General features: G+C 40.5%; 1 protein-coding gene across 5 annotated transcripts in view, besides 3 other annotated features; it reads right to left on the reverse strand.

Moving 5' to 3' along the window:
• AAK1 (AP2 associated kinase 1) overlaps nt 1–19,217 on the reverse strand; it is a 185,743-nt gene that overhangs the window by 70,685 nt on the left and 95,841 nt on the right. For all 5 annotated transcript variants that reach the window (NM_001371577.1, NM_001426746.1, NM_014911.5 and 2 more), the window contains exons 4-8: nt 15,755–15,863; nt 13,842–13,984; nt 3,360–3,481; nt 1,944–2,025; nt 1,327–1,459 (exon numbers count right to left, since the gene is read on the reverse strand). In NM_001371577.1, coding sequence (NP_001358506.1) covers nt 1,327–1,459; nt 1,944–2,025; nt 3,360–3,481; nt 13,842–13,984; nt 15,755–15,863 — 589 coding nt within the window. The remainder of the gene's footprint in view (nt 1–1,326; nt 1,460–1,943; nt 2,026–3,359; nt 3,482–13,841; nt 13,985–15,754; nt 15,864–19,217) is intronic.
• Nucleotides 7,324–7,373: an enhancer, noted in NCBI's record as "active region_15972". NCBI's record gives its function as "activates an Ori minimal core promoter by ATAC-STARR-seq in GM12878 lymphoblastoid cells {active_cell/tissue: GM12878}" and the evidence as "EXISTENCE:reporter gene assay evidence [ECO:0000049][PMID:35858748]".
• Nucleotides 17,096–17,145: an enhancer, noted in NCBI's record as "active region_15973". NCBI's record gives its function as "activates an Ori minimal core promoter by ATAC-STARR-seq in GM12878 lymphoblastoid cells {active_cell/tissue: GM12878}" and the evidence as "EXISTENCE:reporter gene assay evidence [ECO:0000049][PMID:35858748]".
• Nucleotides 17,196–17,245: an enhancer, noted in NCBI's record as "active region_15974". NCBI's record gives its function as "activates an Ori minimal core promoter by ATAC-STARR-seq in GM12878 lymphoblastoid cells {active_cell/tissue: GM12878}" and the evidence as "EXISTENCE:reporter gene assay evidence [ECO:0000049][PMID:35858748]".

A 19,217-nucleotide genomic window follows, 5' to 3' on the forward strand; every position in this document is an offset into this window, starting at 1 on the left:
GATAAACTTAATTTTAGATCTGTGCGTTTAGGGTGATAGTGGAGTTGCCAAATGGTTTGCAAGCAGTTTGGGAAAGATGTCCATGGTATAGACATTCATAAAGAGTTGTATTTCCCAATATGAATTTACTGCATAAATGTTTTAAAAATTATCAAAAAATAATACTAGTCTAATATCAAAGTTGGCCATTTTCCCATATTTCCTACCAATCTCACTTACATACCTGGAATTCTAACATGGACATAATGCTTTATCTCTTAAAACAATCCAACAATTATTAAATGTCATAATCCAGCCCTTTAAATATTCCTCCTTTTTTTGTTAATAAATGGAAGAGGCTGATTGACAAAACTGGCACAATGGAATGGGCAGCACCTTAAAAGCTGTATCTATGTTAAGTGGATAAGTTACCTACATTTTCTCAGTTTCAGTTTCCTCATTTGCATAATGGGAATAATTACACTTAATACATAAAGGATTTTAAGAATTAAATGAGGTATAAGTAGGCCCTCAACAAATGTCAGATGCTCCACCCACATTTGCTGCTTCTATTTTTTCCAGTGTATCCCCATGCAGGACCCAAATGGGTTACTCAGGATTTATAATCAATCCATAACAGTTAAAACTTAGATGTTAAGAGTCTTGACCAATGTGGAAAGATGATAAAAATCTCTGCTTCTTTAGCATTTTAGTATAGGGGCTTTGTGCAAATATTATTCTTTTTTTTTTCTTTAAAGATTACTTATTCTACCATCTGGTTAATGAATGTTAGTACATATGCTTGCTATGATGATACCAAATAGTGGGGAATCTTAAGACTATTTTTAAGAAAGCATTGAGTTTAGATGCATGTTATCAAAATCCAGTGATTAACCTAAATGAGAAGAAAAACCTGGTTCCACGGAGTTATATAGTCTTAATTATCTATTCACTCCAGTGAATGTACTGCAATCATTTTCATTTGAGTTGCTTCCAGTTTTGCAAAGATGAATTTCTTATCACTTGATATGAGTCAGCTGGACTCCTTTGGTACCGGAGCTTTCATAGAGACTGCAACAGAATATAGAAGCACTATACTGCTCCAGGCAGTTAGGATTTCTGCTTGGGTGGCTGGGCTCAGGTGTGAAACAGAACTTCAGATTTCTAGCAAAAAGACCCACCACTCTAACTAGACAGTTACATTGTCTTTGAGTTCCCAATCATTATCAACTAATTTCTTTACCTTTGCATCTAACTCATTACTCCTGGAATCTAATCCCTTTATCCCCCAATTCATTCTTTGTGATTAGAAATAAAAATATGAAACTAGAAACTTAAAATACTTACTAATTAGGCAGTGCATGTCTTGAGAATATCGAGAATTATCAGGAATTGTGAAGTTTCCATCACAAATTGCCACCTGACTTTCCCCAAATGGCAAAGTGAAGTAGCATAATTTATACAACAAACATCCAAGAGCCTAAAAAATAAAGATAGCAGATTGCTACTAGTGGCTTATTTATCATGACTCTAAATGGATCTAATGAGAAACTGGCACCATCCACATTTACTAGCAGATACAAAAACTATAGACTATTAATGTATTAGAAACATGAGTTTTAGAACCCAACACCACTGTTAGCAGCTGAGTTACATTATTTCTACCATTATTACCAAATCGTGTTCCAGTAAATAATAAGTATTTACCTGTTTTGCTCTTAAGAACCAGTAACATATACATGAAAAAAAATCTAAATAATTTTCACAGAGCTTGGAAGTAATTTTCTTTATCATGCTTCAAGAAGCAGTGGCTGGTATTCTCACATCAAGAATAACCTTGAGGGGTAAGTAGACCATGATATGGTACAGTAGCCACCATGCTATAGCGCTGTGTGCATTAACCTTGGGAATTCACAGTCAAGACTGCTGCTATCTGAGGTATGGATAGGTTACCTGACACCTACCCAAATGTCTGCCTTCGTAGTGATGATTTTGCCACTGTACAGGTTGACCATTTCTGGTGCTCGATAGGACAGCGTTGTGTATCTACAATCAAGAGATTCATTTTTTATTAAATATGTCAATACTATAATTAAAAACCAGGAGCAGCAGAAATACTTTTTTTCTTTTTACATTAACAGAATCCCTGGGAGCAATCTGCAGAAGAGAGTATGAAATATTAGTAGAGATAAAATGAAAGGCTGTCCTTGGTACAATCATATCATCACACCAAGGCGTTCTGGCAGCAGTCCTCCTAGTCTAAGAACATGTGGGGACTCAGACACTAATGCATTAAATAAATTCTAAAAGCAACTTTTCTTGGGTCCTCAAATGACAAAATCTTCTCAAAATTCTTATACTGATACTATATTTTGTCAATTTGTTGTTTTAAAAATGGCCTTTACATGTGGCTCAACACAGAGATGTAATACTGACTGTGGTACTCTGCAGAAGAGCAGAAAGTGGGCCCTGGCTGGGGTGAGGAGTGGATGGAATCAAGAGCCCTTCCTCTTTGCTCCTGGAATCAGGCTGAAATAACAGTTTTATCTCTTGCTCCAGAAAAAAGTAGTATAAGCACGTCCTCGAAGTGAGTGTCTTGGTGTTACCAAGCATGTGATTTATGATGCTTTAGTCTCTAGATCCCAGATGGGACACGTCTAGGCATCCCTCAGGGCCTTGGGTCGATCAGGTTCTTCTTGCCCCGGGCATGGTTGTCTGGGGTGACGCATGAAAGGACAGAGAAGATCAGGATGTAGGTGTGCAGGCTAGACTGTTGACTTATTAGTAGTAATAGCGAGTGCTGTTGCCTGTAAAAAATCCAACATTGTGGACATGAGGAGAAAATGGGTCAGGCTCTTATTGGAGTCACAAATCTAAAGAAGCTTTTTATCATGAAAGTCTGTGATTCAGTATCTGCAGAGACTTTAATAACCTACTCACCATTATTTCCACTTAGATCGCCTTATGAGCAGGAAGAAAGGAGCAATTTAGGGTTCAGTAAAAAGCACATCTGTTTGACTGATAATGTCATGGTTGTTGTGATCATACTTAAAAACATGCTAGTACTTTTACGGTGTGTGCACCTCTCAGCTTTTTATAGGCTCTGTGACATCATAAATCAAAACATCTATGTACAATGACCACAGGACCACTGATAAAGTGCTCTAAGAGTCCTTCCTTTTACTCTGATGTATGCCTGTAAACCCCCTCCTCATTCTTCACTTAAAGTCAAACAACCCAACTGTAAACATGATGCTCTGAGATGAAGGACAACTGACTATCACCATTCTCTCCCCACCCTGACCTTCTCATCCATAAGCTGAAGGTAAAGTTGCTCATCTGATTGTGGACAAAACTCCATGAAAGGAGAAAAAGCTTACTTCTTAATCTCATCTTCTACTGCATTGACTCCCTCAGTTTGTGGATTCTGGAATTTGTTGGTGGCGCTTCCAAAGTCACACAGGACATAGTGGCCTCGGTCATGCAAGAGGATGTTTTCAACCTGAAAAACATTCCCCAACCACCCATTCCAAGATATCATTTAGTAATGCACGTGAAAATTTGGTTTCACAGTCACATAAATAAACGTTTTATTTCTGGCAGTCTCATTAATGTGCACAGGGAAGTTATTCCTCTCCAAGTATCTCAACAGGGGTCATCCCAAGTGGAACACAGGAGATGCAGAGTAAGAGGGAAAAGTGGGTGGAGAGGGAAAAAAGAGGAAACTCCACGGTGGGGGATGCAAGAGTGCCATTTTTGTAAATTTCAGCCACATTTCTCACCTCTGCAGAAACCATCCTCATACTTTCAAGCCTCTGACCTGTGCCTTTGCTCTTGCTCTTCTTTTAGGCCAGGATGCCCTCCACAACCCCACCTCCTTAGCCAACTATCAAAATCTCATTTCAAACCCCAGTTCAAATGCCATGTCCTTTTTGAAACTTTCAGGCTCCCACTCAGATAAAATGTCACTCTTTCCCTATTGTCCTTCAGTATTTCATTCTCTCATGATGTGAATTACTTCACTTGGACCTTATAAGTACCTATATAAATGTCTTTACTACACTAGGTTAGGATATTCAGAATTAATATTGCTTATGTTTCAGTTACTTCTCAATGTGATAAAATGTCTGGGGATAAATGGGCAGTTTTCCTGTTAATGTATTGCCCTAATTTTTTAAATAAATGAATTCTTTGGGCAGTGAGTTAGGAGTTCTAGGCAGCAGGGAGCTTATAAAGCCCCAAATCTAGAGAAATCCCTGGTATCAAAGGACTCTACAAATGAAATGACAACTCCAAAATAGTGGGCACTATGTACTCAAGGTGTACTGATTTTGGGTCTAGGTGAACTGAGCTGACTAGTATGCCGGAGGACAGACCTGGCTATGTGTGGGCAGTAAAATGGCAGCCAAAAAATCTTGTTAGGCCATTAAGACTGTAGTCTCCATTGTCTTTTGCCTTCAGCCTTCCAAAGACTGATCACCTTTGGAAAACAAAGGCAAGAGTAGACTATAAAATAGTCTACTCTGAAAGATAAGCTCCTTAAAGATAAGCATCTTCTTATAATCATATTCTTGGTCTTCTCTACCTAGTGCCTAACACAATGCTTGGTATAAAAAATGTATGTTGAATGGAATAAACCAAAAAACACTGTGTAGGTGTGTGTATGTGTGTGCAAACCTGGTGTGTCAGGCGCAAGATAGGAGCCACCAAATATCCAGGCCGTACTACTGTACTACTACTGATTCTTTTAAAAACAACTGGTCAATTATAATAGTCTCTAATTTCTATACTTGTTTCTATACTTTCTTTTAATTCTTCTAAGAATTACATTAAGTATATTTTATAGTCTGTATCTGCCAATTCCAATATTTGAAGTCTCTGCTGCCAACTGATTCTGCAGTTTATTGTTTCTTACTCCTACTAAACCTTGCTTATGGTGGTGTTGTGAGGAGCTTTTTGTTTTTGTTAACTTACATTCCTTGGAACTTAATCTGTAAAAAGCTTGTAAGATCTGGGTTTAAAGTCTATTGTTCTTCCAGAGAGGATATACTGGTGTAGCTGGGGGCACTACTACCCTGGAATCACTTTAATCTATAATTTTGACCTTGGAATTTCCAGCCACATAGGTAGTTTGAACTACAGCCATCAACCTGCACAGGTATGTTCTATGATGAACAATTCTTAAGCATAGGGTTATGAAAGATTAGGAGAGATTCATTCCTTTGAGATAAGGCTGAGGCACGCAAATATTTCCATCATCTATGTCTTTTTTATAAAGCTCACCAGTTTAATCTATTTACACAAAGTGACACAGTCAAGCTTCCTGAGCATATACACACTTTAGGAATTTAAAATAATTCCAACAAAACAACGCTAATGTTTTCAATCTAATTTAGAGGTTATAAAAATAACAGCCATCATTTTCTGAGCTTTATTATTGCCAGTACTACTGTACTCAGCATTTTACATGGATTATCCCACTACATCCTCATAATCCCAATATGATTATTATCCTTCTCTCACAGATGGAGAAAATGAGGCTCAGAGTGATTAAGTCACTTGCTAAATGTCACACAGCCAATAGTTGGTACAGCTGGGAAGTGAACCTAAACAACCTCACTCTAGAAAGGATAGGCAATTATATTCCTGCTACAGGAAGCAGGTTAGAAGCAGAGCAATTACTCAAGGCCCCCATCCTTACTTCCAACTATAGTAGGGGAGACAATACTTGTCTAATGCATTGGGTGCAAGCTTAAGGACAGGACTTTCTTGGTGCTTTATGTTCAGAAATGCCCCCACAATAGAAATCTAGTGAATAAGGAATGAAGTGTCTAAACACTAGCCAGGCTGATTTGTTCGATGTCTCCTAAGCATTCCATACACAACCTAATTTGTCCTTTTATTCAATTGCTCCTTTTATTCAACTGCTCATTCTCCACTCCAGTTGTAACTCCTCAGAAAAACCTTTCACAACCAGTTCACAAAATCTACAGAACTTACTGTCAATAGCAGAGGCTGCCAAAGGCCTTCAGGCCACATCAAACCATGCCCACTTGTTACTTACCCTAAAGTTTATGGCTGCTTTTGAGCTCTGACAGCAGAGTGAGCAGTTATGACAGACTTAAAATATTTATTATCTGGCCCTTTGTAAATAAATTTTGCCAACCTTTGGTAGGTAATAATCACTGATAATCATTTACAATTTGGCAATGTTTCTTTCACTGTGGGTTGGTATTTAACTTCTTATGTATTTATGCTTGCCTTCCCAAGTAAGAATACAAAACTTTAGAGAAAAGGGCACTGTGTTATGCCTGTGCATCTCCCATAACACCTTGTCCAGTGCTGTACACACGCCAGGGACCCTTAAATGTTGCCGATGAAATCACTTATTCAGCATCATTCAGCAACAATCTTCCTCCTCGGCCTCATGCACCTGGCAGGGCTCATCTAAAACCATGCTTCTCCTATTGTATGTGTGCACTCGCTTTCTGAATCAGTTTCTACACTTCTAATGCTGGAATGTACATCTAGAAAAGCTGTTATACCATACATTTATCAAAGAAACATGTTTCACACAAAGGATAAATGCTTGAGGTGGCAGATACCCTACTCATCCTGATGTGATATTACACATTGCATACCAGTATCAAAATGTCTCATATAACTCCTATATACACCCATTACGTACCCACAAAAATTAAAAACTAAAAAACAAAAGAAACACGTTTCAACTCCTACTATATGCCAAGAACTTTTCTAGGCTCTAGGGATAAGGCTGTGAACACAACAAGGTCTATCCTCTCACAGAGCTTACAGTCCAACTGGGGATAAGAAGAAAATAATTATACTTGCCTGGTAGTGATAAATATTATGACAAGAATACAGCAGGTGAATGTATGTAAGGTGAAGACGAATGTTATTTTAAATAGTATAGTCGGGGAAGGTCTCTCCAAGGGGAACAGAGACCTGGATGAAGAAGGAGCAGCCATGTGCCATATGGGGAAAGAGCATTCCAAGCAGAAAACAGTAGCACAAAGGCCCTGAGATGGGAGTGTGCCTGAAGGGTCTGAGGCACAGAGGCAGGCCACTGTGGCTGGAATAGTGCTATGCATAGTACCAGTACTGCAAAGAAAGCTGAAAACATGGGAAAGGACCTACTATGAACCACTGCTGTCAGGAAAGGGGAGACAAGACAATGTGGAGCCATGGAGGAAGTGAAGGACTTACAAAAGTGAAACTAATAACAGGAACAAAGCATAGAAACCAGAGTGATAATAACAGTAGCAACTAACAGCACTTATTAAGTGCCAGACACTGCTCCACGCGCTTTTACCTAGAGTATTTCATATAATCCTTACAAAGCCTTATTGTCTCCCTTAATAGATTAGAAAAAAGAGGCCAGAGAAGTTACCTAACTTGTCTGAGGTCACAGGATAGTAGGGCAGTATTTAGGCTCAGGCCACCGGACTGCCAGGACCACACCCTCACCCACCGTGCTGATGTGCATTGTGCAATTAAGGGGGATGGACAGTTGAGATTGGCGAGGAAGGAGGAAGGAGAAAGGGAGAGGACCAGAGAAGCACACAGACAGCAGACTGAGGAAGGGCACTTGGGCACCATTCAGCATTTTTCTCAGGTCAGCAGCACATGAAGACAGCCATTTTATGAAAATTAGCTTGGCAAAATTGAGGGAGAAGAAAAGAAGGAAGCCAACAAGGGCAGGTACAACAGTCTGGGTGTGAGATGACTAGGGCAGGGTATAGAGAAAAATCAACAGGGATGGAAGTAAGCAGGTGTGAATAGATTATGTGAGATTAAGAAGGTAGAAACCCAACTAGACAGTCGTACACCACCTTCTGAAAGCTTCAGAGAATTTGCATAGGGACTTTGTTTTTGGCAAAGTCCCTTAGGGTGAAGCTCAAGATTGTTTACCACTGCTTACAATCCCGAACCTTTCCATTCTTTGAGAGTGCGATGCTGCTGACCCCATTTCCTAGCCTCTCAGCTTAAGAGTGCAATTGAAGTTGTCACTGTCAAACTCTGCTTACAGCTTTAGCAAAAAGATCTAAGAGGCTACCTCCTACTGACCTCTTCATCTCAATATTATTCCAAACAGGTATGGCATTAGGCATTTCAGTCAGAGAATGTATTGCCACTGCAAAATTTGAAGGATTAGATGAATGCAGGTTTTCAAACCTGTGTTTCTAAAAATGGGACAAGAATCTTCATCCTATTATACTTCATGAGATCAAAATCTCTATTCTAACAAAGGAGACATCTATGACTCTTTTGACATGAATGTGCATGTTAAGCCTTAACCCTTTCTTCTCCTTTCTTAAGTGCTTGGACAAATAGCATGGTATAATACAACAGAATAAAACGGGAGTGAAAAACCGTGGTCTCCGTTCTGGTTTGATCACTCAACTACCTGTGCAGGTCACAGCCTTTCTGTGCGGAGGTTTCCTCACTGGTAAAGAAGAGGGCTGGCTTAGGTGACCTTCCCAGATCCACAACACCATGATCTGCAATACTGATCTTTATCTTTCTCAGAGAAATGAAAATTTAAAATGGGGAAAATGATTAAAGTGTTAAAATAATGTATTAGAGGAGAGATCTTCAATATAGAACAGCACTTCTGCTATGGTTATTTTTAGAACATAAGCTGCTTAAGGACAGGGACCACTTTCAGTTTATTTCCTCTGTCACTGGAAAGAAAGGCTGCACAGGCAGTAGGGAGGGCAAGGGGGGTTTCCTCAGTTCTGCATGTGAACCAGCAGACCCACAGGCAGAGTGGCGCTGGCTCCACAAGGCCCGAAGTAGGCCTGGCCCGTGCTCTTTCCCTCATCCTATTAACTTTTATTCACAGTGGCACCTTCTCACCGAATGGAAATCCTGCTCACAGAGAAGCAACTAGCATTTTCTCTGGAAAACAGGAAAATAGAGAACTCTTTGGCCCTGACTACTGCTAGGACTGTGGTGGCTGGTTCTCACAGTGACATGGAGCTCAGAGTCGCTGAGACTATGTGATGCAACGACAGAGCCAGGGTGAACAGGAGCACTTGGGGAAGCTGCAGATGCGCAGACAACTGTAACTGCCCAGCGCGGACATACTAGCAGACAGCAATAAAATCTAACGTGCTAATGAAAGCATCTAGATGGCATCGAGTGTAAGATCTGGGGAGTCAATGACTAAAAACAACAGCGACCAGGACTTCTCTGCAACAATCACAATCCAGGCCTCTTCCCATGGTCCCTATATCCAAGGTAAAGGAGAAAGAGTCTCCTGAACCACAGTGAACAAATTGGCAGCATGCCTGATGATCTTCAATATTGATGAAAACACAACCACAGAGTCCAATACAATCAGCTCTCCTTATCTGCAGGTTTCACGTCTCCCTCCATGCAACCAACCATGCATCAAAACCCACTGATAAGGGGGGACAACTGTGTGTATTCTCCACCTACAGATGGTTGAATCTGCAGATGTGGAACATCAGATGCAGAAGGCCAACTACTGTGTGTCCAGCATTGCGCTGCCTCCGTCTTAGGAGCACTGAGGTGCAAGGGGTAAAGCACTGAGGGCTGGCTGGGGAAATGAAGTCTGGTAACCTCACTCTAGCCTTTCATTCCAGTTTGCTCCGCATTCCCCTGCTGAAACATCTTGTGGGCTGTTCAGTGCAGTGAAGGAAGAGGCTGGGGCCCGCTGCCTTAGCCCTCCCACCGACCTACTCAGCATCCCAGGCAAGACACTGAGCTCTGTCTCCAGGGCCCCATCACTGGGTGATGCTGACCCAGCACCTCACTGTAGCACAGGGAATGTCACCAGGCAGTGCTATCCTGGTAACTACGTAAGCTGGACAGGTGTTATTTACTGGTATGACATGACTATCATTCAGGCTTCATTTAATCCAGTAAGTGTTTAAAAATCAATATAAAGAGGGCTGGGCATGGTGGCCCATGCCTATAATCCCAGCACTTTGGGAGGCCAAGGCAGGCGGATCACTTGAGGTCAAGAGTTCAAGACCAGTCTTGCTAACATGGTGAAACCCCGTCTCTACTAAAAATACAAAAATTAGCCACGCGTGGTGGCGGGCACCAGTAATCCCAGCTACTCGGGAGGCTGAGGCATGAGAATCGTTTGAACCCAGGAAGTGACAGCTGTAGTGAGCTGAGATTGTGCCACTGCACTACAGCCTGGGCAAGAGAGCAAGACTTCATCTCAAAAAAAAACAAAAAACAAAGTTAATATAAAGGAAGACTCTGAGAACATGGGAATATTACTTTCTAAAAGGATCCTCTGTGTCCCTCTGCTCTTTCCCTTGTCCTCACCTCTGAGCCCTTTCAGGCATTTACCATGCCAGGGATGTGCGCCTAGAGATTGACAAGCACTCCCTCATTCAACCTCACCACCACCCTAACAGAGCAGGCACTGTTAGCTCCACTTTACAGATGATGAAACTCAGGCTCGGAGAGGCTAGTGATTTGAGAAGAAAGCCAAGGAGCCTGGAAAGGAGGAGCTGGGGAGAAGACACCATCATAGAGGTCAAGGGAGAGACAGTCACAAAGGAGCCAGAAGCCACAGGGGGAATAAGACAGGGACTGGAAAATGTTCTCTGCATTTGGCAATACGGAGGAAGCTGCCTATGCTCACCTCTCACAGCACTTGTAATTCCGTCAGTATGAGTCACACGGTGGTGCAGAGTCAGAGTTCACAGGATGAACTCTAACCCCATTTGACATGGAAGGGGTGCAGAACGGGGGCTACAGAGAGGCAAAAGGTCACATGGATCATAAGAGCGGTGCCCACCAGCCACATTTCTCCCCTATTTCTATGCCTCTCACACTCTTCTCCAAGGCAGGCAGCAAGGCCAGGGGTCAGGTCCTTAAGTTTTGGTACCACTGCCTGTTCTGAAATACATGCTAACAGGATTTAAACAAAAATTTTACTCATTGTTAAAGGCAACTAGGAGTAGTGTCAATACATATTCAGAGCAATGCCTGTGGTCACTCTAGCCTGGTCTGCAACTGGCCACACACTGGAGCTCTGACCCACCTTCTCATCCCCACACACCTTGCTGTTCCCTTCTGCAGGGAGCCCTCTGGCTCTACTCTCTACCCAGAATGTTCTTCATCCTCTCTGTGACCACTTACTTCCTATCAGGCCTTCAAAATCCCACTTTTCCAGAAAATTCCAATCATCACTGCCTGATCTCACTATCTGGCCATACATTAAACCCCTTGATTATCTTCTATTCATCATTTTCTTCTATAGAGTTTTATATTTCATCTATTTCTGTTTCAAGTCTAAATATTTCATTGGTATCTTCTTACCAACAATACTTTGAATATCTTGAGGGTAGGAACAATGTTATATTTGTCCCATCCCCACAGAATTATGTACTTGTGCTATGCTAAGCTTATAATAAATATTCAACAACATGCATTCCCTGCCCCACTTGCCTTTTTTTTTTTTTTTTTTGAGACAGAGTCTTGCTCTGTCACCCAGGCTGGAGTGTAGTGGCACAATCTCGGCTCACTGCAACCTCCGCCTCCTGGGTTCAAGCAGTTCTCCTGCCTCAGCCGCCTAAGTAGCTGGGATTACAGGTGCCAGCCACCACACCCAGCTAATTTTTTGTATTTAGTAGAAATGGGGTTTCACCATGTTGGCCAGGCTGGTCTCGAACTCCTGACCACAGGTGATCCACCCGCCTCAGCCTCCCAAAGTGCTGGGATTATAGGCATGAGCCACCACGCCCGGCCACATTCCTCTATTTCTACTTAGAAAAAAAGGGCTGACTGTGCGCAGAGGTACACTACAGAAAGCTATCTAAGCCTTTGGGAGGTATATACTCATTCTCCTGTAAGCTAACTGCCTTAATATAGAAATGCCAGGATGTACCACTTCATACCCACTAGGATGGCTAAAACAAAAAAGGTCAATAACAAGTGTTGGTAAAGATGTGGAGAAACTGGAACCTTCACGTATTGCCGATGGACGTAAAATAGTGTGACTACTTTGGAAAACAGTTTGAAGGGTCCTCAAAAAGTTAAACACAGAGCTACTATATGACCCCACAATCTACCCCTAGGTATAGACCTATAAGAATTCAAAACATATGTCCACACAAAAACTGGTACATGAATGTTCATAGCAGTGTTATTATTCATAATAGCCAAAAAGTGAAAACAACTCGAATGTTCATCAGTGAATGAATGGATAAACAAAATGTGGTACATCCATACAACAGAATATTATGAAACTATGAAAATGAAGTACTGATACATACTATAACATTGACGAACCTTGAAAACATTGTGCTAAGTGAAAAAGTCAGACAGAAGGGGTCACATATGATGATTCCATTTATATGAAATGTTCAGAACATGAAAATACAGAGACAGAAAGTAGATTAGGGGTTGCCAGGAGAGAGGGAAAGGGGAGACAGAATAGGGACTGCTAATGGATACAGGGTTTCTTTTGGGGATGATGAAATGTTCTGGAATTAGATAGTAGCGATGGTTACACAACTTTGTAAGTATACTAGAAACTGCTGAATTTTATACTTCTTTTTTTTTTTTTTTTTTTTTGAGGCAGAGTCTCGCTCTGTTGCTCAGGCTGGAGTGCAGTGGCGTGATCTCCACTCACTGCAACCCCTGCCTCCCAGGTGCAAGTGATTCTCATGCCTCCGCCTCCTGAGTACCTGGGACTATAGGCATGCGCTACTACACCCGGCTAATTTTTTGTATTTTTAGTAGAGACGTGGTTTCGCCATGTTGGCCAGGCTGGTCTCATACTCCTGATCTCAAGTGATCTGCCCGCCTTGGCCTCCTGAAGTGCTGGGATTATAGGCATGAGCCACCACGCCTGGCCTGAATTATATACTTTAAAGCAGTAAATTTTATAGTATGTGAATTATGTCTCAATTTTTTTTAAAAAGTTAAGAAATAAAAGAAATGCAGGTATGCTGCTTTATCCCAAAACCTTTAGAGTATACAAAAACCACCCAGTGTTCTTATTAAGATATGGCTTCTTGGGCTTCCCTGATGTCACTACCAAAATTTTGGCCCAAGAGATTCAGTGTGGAACCTACCAGCCTGCATTTAACAAGCATGCTAGGGGATGCTGATTCAAGTTATTAGCTATGAAGCATGTTTCCTGAAACACGGTAGAATGAAAAGAAATTGTAATTTAGAATCTGAAGGCTGGATTCAAATTCTGGCACTGTCCTTCCTAGTTATATGACTTTAGGCAAGTCACATAACCTCTCTGCTTCTTAGTTTCCTCAACTATAAAACGTAACAAAGAATGTCTCCCCCTGAAGAGACACTGTACATAAAACGTAGTAGAGTACATGGCACGTAATTGGTGCCCAATACATGCTAAGTTGAACCCTAACAAGGTGCCAATTCCATTCAACAAACACTGTCAAGTGACTACAATATGAAAGGCACAGTGCAAGGTGATGGCAATTAGGACAATTAAAAAAAATCAATTAGTTGATTTTGCAAAATATGAAATAAGACTTTAAAAACCAAGCATCATTGTTTACTAAGTATTTAAATTAAAAGTATTACTTTTCACAATCCTGAAAAAGTGGGGGGAGTATATCAGGAAAAACAAAAACAACACAGGCTCAGGCATGTGATAATTATAAAGAATTTCTGGAGGCTGCTTAAGTAATAAAACTTACACCTGTACTGTACTTTTTCCTTTGTTATTTTCTCTCCTCAGGCAGAATATAAACATAAAAACAGGGACCATATCTTAAATTTCTCTCATATCCCCACAGTATCTACTCCATCCCTGGGGCAGACAGAAAATATTGAGTAGAATGCCCGTAATGAAAGAGTGTGGTCTGTACCTTCAGGTCCCGGTGGATAATAGGAGTTTTGCACTGATGCAGGCGGGCAACAGCTTCACAGGTATCACAAAATATCTGGAGCACTTCATTCTCTGTAAAGCCTGTTTGCAGGCGCTGGTTCATCAGGTTTACCACCTGGCCACCTGAGGGGGTACGTACAGGGCAAAGGAGACGTTATAAACATTCGGACTTGTCATTTAGTCTAAGAGAATGAACGGCGTCCAAAGAGAAGCAGTCTGGACTAAGGTAACAGAGCTGACCACTGACTGAGCCAGGATTAAAACCTAGTTGTCTTGACTCCCAGCTTGGGATTTGTTTTCTTATAATTCAGTGTCTCCTCTAATGCATCAAAAACAGTTTCTTTATTTTATAAAGCACCCCAGATGTGAGCTGCCCTCATTATGTCTTCGAGGTTAGTAGAACTGACAATATGGTCCTGCTTTAGTTGCCTGGTTATATTGTGTTCGTTGTGTATGAGACATGGCCACAGCCTCAACTTGCCATATCTTTTAGTAAGAATCAGATGGCACAATAGGTCCAGGGAGCAGGAAGAAGATGGTTTTATACTTTGAACTTCAAGAACAGCTTAGTCTCTCTGGCTTCACTGCTTACTGCTTGGCTTGCAGAAATGGTACCACCAACAATTAATCTCCAGGACCAAAAGATTGATGACCTCACTTACAACATTATCCAGATGCCTGGATGCTCCTACTGCCTGATCTCTAAACATTTTAGTATCCAAAAAGGAAATGAGCAGGAGGAAACAAACGGTCAAGTTCAAATTTGTTAGTACTTTAGGAAATCAGGTAAATAGTTAATACAGTAAGGGCTAAAATTACTGGTTAACATCACATTTTTGGGATTAGCAACATATTTAATTTATGGATAGTATCTTCTTTTTTTTGAGACAGAGTCTCACTCTGTTGCCAGGCTAGAGTGTAGTGGCGTGATCTCAGCTCACTGCAACCTCCACCTCCTGGGTTCAAGTGATTCTGCTGCCTCAGCCTCCCGAGTAGCTGGGATTACAGGTGCGCACCACCATGCCCAGCTAATTTTTGTATTTTTAGTAGAAATAGGGTTTTACCATGTTAACCAAGATAGTCTCGATCTCTTGACCTCATGATCCACCCGCCTTGGCCTCCCAAAGTGCTGGGATTACAGGCATGAGCCACCGCGCCCGGCCTATGGATAGTATCTTAAGCGTAAGGAAAATGTTAATGGAACTAAGGGTGATTACAAAACACAGCACCAAACAGTAAGGCACTGACCTAAGCCAAACCTCCAAACAATGGTTATATAAAATGCAATTAACTCTGAAAAAAATTCATGCTACAGTCTGAATTTCCCAAGATAAATGTTTTTTTGAAACTTGAAGCTTTCAATGACTTTACTCCACTGTTAACAGCTGCATCATTTGAATATAGCCTCACCTTACTAGGAATTATAGCCTTAGAGTAGGGACAGGAGGGTCACTTCCATTAGACAAAAAGGATGCTTTTACCCCGTAACACATGAATGATGGCATGAGTGGGAAAGAGAACACACAAGTGAGGGAGTTGGGGAAGCTGCACTGTTTCTTTCATCCATCTGGAGTTCAGCCTTTATTATGTGCCTTCATCATTTGTTATAAAGCATCACAAAGAACATATTCATTCTCATTCTTACACATCTTCATTTATATACAAACACCAAACCTTCCCAAACCTAACAAAAATGGAGTTCTATATTATCTACGTTTGTACCGTTATAAGAATAACTAAGAGTTGACAGCAGACTGTATCTTTTAGTTTTCTCATCTGTCAAACCAGAACATATCATAGAGTGCAGTGCACATTAAGTGAAATGACCACCCTAACCATGACAATCAAAATGCTAGAGAAATGACAGCTTAAGGGAATGGTTCATATACATACCTCTACAAAAGTCCATCAGAATGAGCACTTCCCATACATCACCGCTACTCACGTTGTTGATACTAGAATCAATGTAACCCACAATATTCTTGTGCCCTGAAAGATCCCTCTGTGAACAAGAGAGGAGAAATATATTGTTAGTTTCAGATGCCAATAGGACAGAATTAGCCAGTCAGTTCCATTAGCACAGATAATTTAAATACAGAGATGATACAGTGTTGACAGAGAAGACTAAGGAGCAAAGTCAAGAACAGGTTTCCAGTGGTCCCTGAGATTCACTGCTAGATCTTCAATAGCAATTCCATAACCCTACTAAACCAGAGCACACTCCAGAACCTAAATTCTAGAGTCAAATGCACAGAGTGCCTACTTGCTTACTGCATCAATGCTCCACGTAAACTAGAAGCAAAGACTCCCCTCTCCAGAAACACTGCAGGGGGTAAAGAGTAGAGAGACCGTGTGAACTACTTAAATATGTGAACTTCTAATTAAGAAAAATAAAATTGATGTTTTTCCTGGTTGTAGGGGCAAAAATGAATTTAACTTGACTTTTAAATAGTTCGTACTGTTTTTTTCCTTTTGGGAAATCTACCAAAAAAAAAAAAGCTATTTACAAAGTCTTGAAGGGACTACAATAGCATCCAGACCTAAGCATTTTGTTCATAATCAGGCCTTTCAAGCCAACCAACTGGGATATAAGATGGGCATGTTTCCAGCTCTTCAGTTGGAACTGCATGTGATCTCTTAGGGCTGCTTGGATGAATTCATTCATCCAACCAACATTTGTTGAGCACCTCCTATGTGTCAGGACCCATCTAGGAACTGGAAGTGGCCTCACATTTTGGTATAGTCCTTTAAACATCTCCAGAGAGGCAGCTCTTTGTAATGATGATATTCAAAACCAAGTAATTAAGAAGTAAGTTGAGGAAAGAAAAAGAAGGCAAGCTGGGTGATATGATTTTTGCACAAATGCAAGGTAAGGTTTTATTTTTTAAACTAGTTTTAATAAATTGTCTGATTTTTGTTTCAAAAAGGTCAGGGGGAAGGAAAACATGTGGTCCCCTGAGAGTCACCATACAAACTTAGCAGTTTGGACCGTGAGAACAGAAACTACCACCACTCTAATTAGATTCAGCTGTTTACAGTGAAAAACAAATTTCATAACAAAACAAGAGAAAACCCCATGGTATGAAGTGAATACACCTGAACCCTGGGCATCAAAGTTAAAACTCATTAGAGTCTTCCTCTGAGTGATGGATTGTGAATGACTATTGCCTCAGAAATGGCAGCTGCAACAAAAGTTCAGACAAAAGTAGAAAGGCTTTGGAATTGGCAGATGGAAGTCACTGGAGACTTACGTGAGAGTAGTTTCACAGAACAGATGGGATGGTGGTGAGAATGAAACTGGACTTGCAATGAATGAGAGTTGAGCAAGTAGGGCCAGGGTCTACAGATTACTCTTGCAGAACATTTGTGCCTAAGGCAGCAGCATTGAGGGGAAAGGGTGTTTAGAATGGGAGAAAACTGAGCACCAGAAAGAGGAAGGAGCCAAGAGAAGAGAGCTTTAAGATACAGGACAGGATGATGATAATTGACGGAAAAAGTCCTATAAGTAGAAGGGTGGGATTAAGAGTACTGTTCAAGGGACTGGTCTTAGGGTAACTTTTTTTTTTTCCCCCTGGCAAGCAGGAAGGAGGCAAGGATGGCTGTGCATGCTGGTTTAAGGCGGAAGAAAAAGAGAACTCAAATGAGTTCGTATCTGTTGTTTTATTTTTGGTAGAGAACAAGGTCATTTCCTAAATGTATAGGAATGACAAAGAAGTTTGATGAGACAAAAGACTTACTGCATCTGCTTTGGATAATACATAAGGGAGATGATGAAGCTGACACACAATCTCTATAATTCAAGTTTTTCCCAAACAGAAAATGATTTTGGGACTCACATTTTAGTGGCCTATCCTTCCCTCTGCTTTCCCATCTCATCATCAACCCATCTAGAACTCATTTCCATTTACACATTCCTGAAAGTAGGAAGAACTGGAGAGAAGTTCTTTGAAACCAAAATAAGGATCATATCCTCCAAATATTCAAAGATGAATGAAAGACTCATATCCCTACATTTAACTATTTGAAAAAGAATCAGCAATGTTGCCTCTGAGTTGGTCTCATCCTAAGAGGAATAATAAAGCATCTGGAAAAAAGCAACAAAATATTGGTAGAACCATGCTATGGTTTGAAGGCTTGTGTCCCCTCCAAAATTCATGTTAAAACTTAAATCCCCAATGCAATCGTATTAAGAGGTGGGGCCTTTAGGAGGTGATTAAGTCATGAGGGCAGAGCCCTCATCTGCTGGTTAATAAAACTATTACCAGCAGATGTTACTGGTTAACATCTGCTGGTTAATAAACTATTACCAGAAGGTAAGGAAATAAGGAGCTTGCTCCAGCACATAAATCAATCAAATCACTAAGCTCTCTTTTCTCCCCCCAGCAAGATCTTACCTGTGAGGGAAGCAGTTCATTGATTTATATTATGGCACAAGATCCTTTGAGTGGCATCAGTACATTTATACTCAACTGATTTTTGACAAGGGTGCCAAGACAATTCAATGGGTGAAAAATGGTCTTTTTTAAAAGTAGTGCTGGGACAAGTGGGAATTATTTGGATCCCTACCTCACACCATATACAAACATTAACTCAAAATGGATCAAAGAACTAAAAATCCCTCAAAGAAAACATACGTGCAAATCTTTGTGACTTTAGATGAGGCAATGGGTTCTTAGATATGACACTTAAAGCTCAAGCAATCAAGCAAAAAGCGATAAATTGCACTTTATTGAAATTAAAAACTTGTGTTTCAAATGGCACTATTAAGACAGTCTAAAAACAACATATGGAATGGAAGAAAATATTTACAAATCATACATCTGATAAGGATTTAGTGTCCAGAATATGTGAAGAACCCTTACAACTCAACAACAACAAAAAAGACAACCCTATGTAAAAATTAGCAAAGGATCTGAATAGATATTTTTCCAAAGAGCATATACAAATGCCCGAAAGTATATGAAAAGATGATCAGCATAATCAATCATTAGGGAAATATAAATAAAAAATCACAGTGAAATACCATTTCACACCCACTAAGATGGCTATAATAAAAAACAAATAATAAAAAATATTGGCAAGGAGGTGAAAATTGGAATCCTTGTATATTACTAGTAGAAATATAAAATGATGCAGCTACCAAAACAGTCTGACAGTTCCTCAAAAAGTCAAGTTATCATATGACCTAGCAATTTCACCCAAGAGATGTGAAAATATTATAGGCACACAAAAATTTCTACACAAATGTTCATAGCAACATTATTCACAATAGCCAAAATGTGAAAATAACCCAATTCCATCAACTGATAAATGAATAAATAAAATGTGGTACATTCATACAACAGAATATCACAAG

Source organism: Homo sapiens, chromosome 2 (genome assembly GCF_000001405.40).
Source record: "Homo sapiens chromosome 2, GRCh38.p14 Primary Assembly".
Lineage (NCBI taxonomy): Eukaryota > Metazoa > Chordata > Mammalia > Primates > Hominidae > Homo > Homo sapiens.